The sequence below is a fragment of the Homo sapiens genome, chromosome 2 (genome assembly GCF_000001405.40).
Source record: "Homo sapiens chromosome 2, GRCh38.p14 Primary Assembly".
Classification (NCBI taxonomy): domain Eukaryota; kingdom Metazoa; phylum Chordata; class Mammalia; order Primates; family Hominidae; genus Homo; species Homo sapiens.
In genome coordinates, this window is record NC_000002.12 from 1747505 (window position 1) to 1754658 (window position 7154).

Below are 7154 nucleotides of genomic sequence, written 5' to 3' on the forward strand. Positions count from 1 at the left end.
GTGCACACACTCCAGTGGGTTCAGATTAGACTCCGGGTGCCATCACCCCTGCAGGATCCTGTGCACACACTCCAGTGAGTTCAGCCATCACCCCGCAGGATCCTGTGCACACACGCCAGTGGGTTCAGCCATCACCCCGCAGGATCCTGTGCACACACACCAGTGGGTCCAGATGCAGATGCCATCACTCCTCCTGGATCCTCTCCACACCCTCCTGTTGTTCCAGCTCACACTGGACGCCATCTCTCCTGCTGGATTCCATCCACAGATGCTCTTGCGTCCAGCACATGCCACAGCAGAGCATCAACTGGGAGCGTAAGGAACATGAGACAGAACCACTGGGGACCATCTTAGAGGCTGCCTACCACGTGTCACTCTTGAGTTTGTGTAGAACAGGGATGCTTGTGAGAATGCTTCTTCTGTATTTCCATAATGGCAGAATGCTGGGTGGGAGCTGCAAACATTATATTCAGCAGAGGAGGAGACAGAGTCCTAGGCAGACTTCAGTACAGTCCTGCTGTTAAGTACCTGGAGCTAGAGCAGACCCCGCAGGTTACAGATGTGGATGGACCTCAGTAAGGCTGCCCTCACTTTAATACTACCTGTGTGTCCAGTGGTCCCCAGGCCATCCACACTTCTGACTGGTTACAGATTCATAGGTTTCTGAGACCCCCTCCAGCTCCATCTCCTGCTGGAACCACCCACACAACAGATGAAAGTGCTGTGGTTACAAATACAGCTGTATTATAATTGATACCAATCTGAACCTCCAAATGAAATACATCAGGTGAGGTCAGGGAGGGTCCCAAATGCAGAGCCTCTGTGCCTGGCCTGTGGGATCAGGGCCCATCACCACCCGGCACAGGGACATGATCACCAACAGGGAAGCTCTACTGAGCTTTGGTGTCCAGAGTTTTCACCAGGGTTTTATGGCTCAAGCAGGACTGATGACACACTGTCCATGGGGTTGAACTCTCCAGGGAGGTCAGGCTGACAGCACAAGGCCCAAACACTTCACCCTACAATCGCATGGTCAGTCCTAGTGATCAGCCTCCATCCTGTGTTCCTTCATCAGCGTCAGCTCAGACATGGCTGGGAGCTCATCATGAATACACACGCTCCTGTCCCTGGGGAAATTCCAAGGGCTTTGGAAGCTCTGTCCCGGGAACCTGAGGAAAAGACCCAATTCCTTCTCAAACACACAAGCTTTACATGGATACTCGTGTTTAGGAAAGTGGCACCCGCTGCTGTGTCTGCCGTTTTAAGCAAGCACCCCGCTCACAAGGCGTAATTACCTTTTTGGTCATCTAGGGACCCTTTCCAAGCCATCCAGGTGTCCTAGGTACTAAGGAGTCACACATCTACCCGCAGCACGCTCTGGGGCTCCGTACTCACTTCCAGATGCTTTCCAGACATCTCCACCTCGATGTCCCACAAGAATTCCAATGTTATGATGTCAGAAACTAGAACATCGCTCTCCATAAAAAATGCGCTTTTTCTCCAGAATCTCTAATGCAATCCTCCGCCAACCTGGAGGTCATTCTCACCTCAATCCCTACCCCATCCTTAAATACAGCAGTCACAGGATCCTGTTAATTCCTTGTGCTGAGCACTGTTCCTTCCACATGGCTGTTGGCAGAGCTCTGGCCCCTGGACCACCACTGAGACCCCTCCTGGGCATGTGCCTTTGGGTCTGCCTGGCTCATCACAGAGAATGAAGCTCACAGAGAATGTGCCGCAGCTCGGACCCTGCCACCGCTGTATGCAAGCACCTCTCAGCCCCCTGCCTAATGGGGTGGGCTTGGGGCCACCATCTCCGGTGGCTTTGCGTCTGTTCTTCCAGCCCCTTCTCTCCACAAACACCAGACATCAACTTATTTCAACTTTATTTCCTGGCAAACTGCTACTGAACCTTCTAGAATCTGCTCAGTTGGGTGGCTCCCTCTGTGCACCCCTCCAGGCCCTGGTTCCCACCGTCTTCCCAGTGTGAATATCCTTCTAGTGCTACAGCCCACCCCACACAGCCCCAGGACAAGGTTTCCATGCCTAGCTCCCTGTCAAGGCCAAGAGCCCTCGGGGATGGACTAGAACAGTCATTGTTGGGTGAAAACAAGTGTACCATGTGCTACACTGCGTGCATTACTGCCCAGCCCCAGATGATCAGGTGGACTCTTGGGCAGCCTTGCAGTTCTGAGTTTGCCCTGACATTCGCTGGGGTGGGTGACAAAGACTAGAAACATCTGGAAAAGACCTCTGCATTCTCTGCTTTAAGTTTGCTCAAGTTTAGAAATCATCAGAAACATCATAATAATGATTATGAGGTCATTTCAGCATCTCAACAGAACTCCAGGGGAAGTGCTGGGTATGGACATTCCATCGTGAGGAGGGGCCCTGTGACTGCAGATACTCAATGCCTTCCAAGTGCGCTGGTGCCACCTTCAAGTGACACTTCTCAGAGTGTCACCCAGTGGCCCAGAGGCTCCCTAGTGTGTAGTCCACCCTCGCTCAGACACGGCGGCCTGTACCTGACATCCACACTCCCCACCTGCTGCCACCCACAGGAGCATTTCAGGGCATCACGAATTGGTGGCTTTTCTTTCCAGTTCAACAGGCATCTCCCAAGTCACCTGTGGTGATTGCTTTTATATGTCCACGTGGCCACACTCATCTAGACATTGCTCTGAAGGTATTGCGGTTGTGGTTAATCTCTATCATCAGTTGACCTTAGGTGGAGGAGGTGACCTTTGATGATGTGAGTGAGCCCTGTCTAAGCAGGTGGAGGCATTGAGAGCAAAACCTGAGGTTTCCCAGAAAAGGAGAAATTTTGCCTCAAGGCTGCAGCTTCAGCTCCTGATTTCAGACCTGCTGGCCCCACAATCACTTGAGCCGATTTAAAAAATCTATCCATCAATCAATGTATCCATCCACCCATCAACTCACCTATTCATACATGTACTCATCCTTGCATCCATTCATCCCTCCCTCCTTCTTTCCCTCCTTCGTTCATTCTTCTCCTCCCCCCTCCCTCCCTCCCTCCCTCCCCCCCTCCCTCCCCCCCTCCCTCCCTCCCTCCCTCCCCCCTCCCTCCCTCCCTCCCTCCCTCCCCCCTCCCTCCCTCCCTCCCTCCCTCCCTCCCCCCTCCCTCCCTCCCTCCCCCCCCTCCCTCCCTCCCCCCCCTCCCCCCCTCCCTCCCTCCCTCCCTTCTCTTCTTTCCTCCTTCTTCCCCCAATCCCTTCCCTCCTTCCCTCCCTTCTCCCCATCCCCATCCACGGATCCATCCTATGGACCCCATCCTATGTGTCCCTGAAGACCCCCGAGTGGCATAGCATTCGTTTGCATGTGTGTGGCATTGGCAGGGGAGTCTGGGCAGGGGGTGGTCAGTGCAATGACTTGGGCCTGAAAGAATGAGGTTTTGGTGGTGAGCTCTTCCCCTGTGGAGCTGAATGTGCAGCCGTGTGTTTTGTTCACGGCTTCCTGCGTCTGCCCTCTAGAGGCCCACAGAAGCCTCGCACCTCCCCAGCCCGGCGTCTGCGGGTGAATTGTCTGAGCAGGAGCACAACAGCTTAAGCTTCATGTTCTCCGGGCCCAGGTGAAATACTCTCACCCCCTCTGATGGCCACTTTCCAATCCTGTTATCCGCCCCCAGTCTTGTGATCTGTCCCACAGCAAACACTCCTTCCAGGTGTGAGTTGTGCCAAGGAACACTGTTTCGTTGTCACACATAGTACTTAGACGCAGTGAGTGAAGAGACACTTGGTCCCGGGCCCCCTTCTCTGCACACACTGCCCTGTGTGCTACAGCATGCCAGGCAGGGTGCCAGGACAGCAGGCCCGTGAAGACCATGGCGGCGGCTGTCTGAAGACCAGCTCACAGCAGGAGCTGCGCTGAGATCTTCTCCTGGGTGCTCATGCTGGGGCCCGAGGTCGTATGGAAAAGGCTTGTCCCCCTTGCTGGATGTCACAAGGCTCAGGTGAGTGGGTCAGAGCCATGTTCCCAGTGAGTTCCCGGTCAGTGTCAGCTCAACCACAGCAAAGGACAGCCGGGCAGGGCACCAGGCTCCTGGCAGACCCACGGTGAGAGGCAGCTGCAGGCTCAGAACACAATTTACTGTGTTCAGTTCAGCCACAGAAAGATGAGATTCTAGAATTTAAATGCTAAGCATGGAGAGTCACCACTTCTCTGTCCAAAGGTCCCTCCATCCGCCAGAGCACCGGGTCAGGCACCCGGGACATGCCCAGGAGTGGAGAGAAGAGGGGTCCTGAGGGTCCTCACCTTGTGAGAGTCACATCTTCACTGCTCCTCCCCCATGGGATCTTTATGTAAATTAAGCCGCACACTTAGATTCCACATTTTTCTCAGATAGGCGCCAACAGGGGCTTTCTGCATGCCTAGGTGATGAAGTCAGAGGGTGGAAGGCTCATGTCTGGGAGAGGGGTCCCGCTAATAACCCCCTCCCCAACAGGGGTCCTGGGTGTAGACAGAGGCCTCCCCAGCCCAGGCCCTTGGCACGCTGTGTGCGGAGGTGGGCGACCCTCTGTCCACCCTCGGGGAGAGGGTCTGCTTCCTGCCTTCCATGAGCCGCGCTGGGGCTAGCCAAGGCCTCTGCAGGAGGGGGAAGCACCGAGAGGGTTTCAGGGTTACAGTGGAGGGAGTTTAATTGGGCGACTGAGAGGTGAGGCAGTTAGGGAAGCAACCAAGCATCTCCACCATGCCCCCACCCTCGGAGGCCATGGAAGGCGGGGGGAGGAACGTGTGAGCCTCACCTAGCTAGATTTATAACTGCAGGAGGGGCTGCCAGGGGCCATGGCTGCAGGTGGATGGCTGGGAGGGCAGGGAGGGCATGTGGAGCCACTGAGGCTGATGCCATCCCCTGGTCACCCAGGAGGAAGCCAGGCGGTAACGGGGACTGGGCAATTCCCTATTAGAGGTTGGTTCCCCAGGACAGGTGAGGCAAGGAAGGGCAGAGACTGGACCTGGAAAATCCAGCGTGAGCACAGCACCCAGCCAGCTTCCAGGGAAGTGAGCGGGCAATGAAAACAGACAAGGAAGGGCAGAGACCCTGAGAAACTCACAGTTAGGTGGAAACACAGTCTTAAATGCAAGACACTTAGGCCAAGCGTGACGGCTCACACCTGTCATCTCAGCATTTTGGGAGACCAAGATGGGAGAATCACTTGAGTCCTGGAGCTTGAGACCAGCCTGGGCAACGTAGTGAGACCTTGTCTTTACAAAGATAAAACATATATATTTAAAAAATGTTTTTAAAGCCACGTGGATAGAAGCTGCTTGGATGACCACATTAAGTGAATGGCCGCATCTGTGCACTGGCTCTGCAGCCCTGGGCAGCGACACAGAGACAGCAAGCAGAGCATCCATCACCAGGATTCTCAGGCAGGTGTTACACCAGAGCTCATGCGTGTCTGGCCCCAGGCTCTGAGCTGTGGCGCATTCTTCTTGCACATGCCCTGTAGGCCGGGTGAAATGTTGTCACTGAAGGTGAGCTAGGAAGTCACAGGGCAGGTTTCACAAGAGACACATCACAAAGACCCTGCTCATAAAACAGGATGTGGGAGAGAAGCCAGCCAAAACCAAGATGGTGGCAAAAGAAACCTCTGTTCATTATACACTAATCATAATGCATTTGCATATGCTCAATGACGTGCCTGGCAGCACCAAGACAGTTTACAGACGCCATGGCAACGTCTGGAAGTTACCCTATGGGGTCTGAAGTGGGGAGGAATTCTCAGTTCTTGGGGAATTCCCTGCCTTTTTCCCAGAAAACTCATGAATAATCCACCTGTTGTTCGGCATATAATCAAGAAATAACCATAAAAATAGCCACCCTTTTATTCCTGTGCGGTAACCACCCATTTATTTCTTTACTTTCTTGATTAACCTGATTTCACTCTGTCCTCTTGCTCTTTTTTTTTTTTTGAGACAGAGTCTCGCCCTGTCACCAGGCTGGAGTGCAGTGGCATGAACTCAGCTCACTGCAACCTCCACCTCCCGGGTTCCAGCGATTCTCCTGCCTCAGCCTCCCGAGTAGCTGGGATTACAGATGTGCACCACCACGTCCAGCTAATCTTTGTATTTTTAGTAGAGATGGGATTTCACCATGTTGGCCAGGCTGGTCTCAAAATCCTGACCTCAAGCAATCCACCTGCCTCGGCCTCCCAAAGTGCTGGGATTACAGGCGTGAGCCACTGTGCCCAGCCTGTCCTCTCACTCTTGAATTCCTTCCTGCATGACACTAAGAACCCATGTGACCTCCCGGGATGAGCCCCGATTTGGGGGTTCACCTGTGATAAAGTAAGCTGGTGAACAGCAGGGAAGCACTCTGTGTCTGTAGCTTCCTGTGAGTATGCAATCATTTCAAAATTAAAAGTTTGTTAAAGCTATAAAAATTATAAAATAAATTAATAAAAATCATTGTCTCAATCTTCACAACAATCATGAACCTTGAAAATGAATTACTGTTTTGTTTACGCAGAAGAGGAACATGAGACACAGATGGGCTGAGTAAGCCCCCACGACGGCAGCAGGGGAGTGAAATGGAACCAGGGTCTCCAGCCCAGGCCACGCCCCCTCCCCGGGATGCCTGCTTGCTCTGAGCCCAGCGTTTCCATGTGTGAAGTGTCTGCCATGTTAGGGCAGCCGAGGACCCAGCATCCCAGGTTCTCTGTGCAGTGTTCATCACTTGCCCTCCAGATCTTCCCAACTCCCACCTCCCCAGCCGGCCTCCCCACTCCTGCGGAAGTAACTGCTGGGGCCCAGGACTCACTGTTGCCCCAAATGCCCAGCACTTAGCCCTCCTCGTGCAAGACTCAGCTGTAACCTCAGGTCCTTTGAAGGCTCCCATGCACTGGCCCACCTGCGGGGAAAGCTGGTCTTCCTCCGTGCCCGTCATGATGTCTCCGTCCCTTCCTCACCATCACGGCACTGAGTGCCTTACCTGCTCACACACACAGCCGTCTCCCCACCTGGACTGTTCGATCTGATGATTTTTATCAGCGTAGGTGCTGGTAACCACGAGGTAATGTGCTGATGGGGAACTGACGGGTTAGTGAGTGGCTGGACAGCTCCTGCCATGCTGGCTGGTGGGGGCGTCCCCCCTGGACTGTGGGCCCTGCTGGAGCAGGCATCTGATGCACCCC

General features: G+C 54.0%; 1 long non-coding RNA gene across 1 annotated transcript, besides 1 other annotated feature; it reads left to right on the forward strand.

Annotated features, from left to right (window-relative positions):
- On the forward strand, nt 3223–6450 carry LOC124907724 (uncharacterized). The gene is made up of 2 exons (XR_007086189.1): nt 3223–3970; nt 5268–6450. It is a non-coding gene; the product is annotated as an uncharacterized LOC124907724 (long non-coding RNA).
- Nucleotides 3776–4276: an enhancer, noted in NCBI's record as "H3K27ac-H3K4me1 hESC enhancer chr2:1755052-1755552 (GRCh37/hg19 assembly coordinates)". NCBI's record gives its function as "activates a minimal SCP1, AML or CMV promoter by ChIP-STARR-seq in naive H9 embryonic stem cells {active_cell/tissue: H9 hESC(naive)}" and the evidence as "EXISTENCE:reporter gene assay evidence [ECO:0000049][PMID:30033119]".
- Nucleotides 6451–7154: the final 704 nt, after the last annotated feature.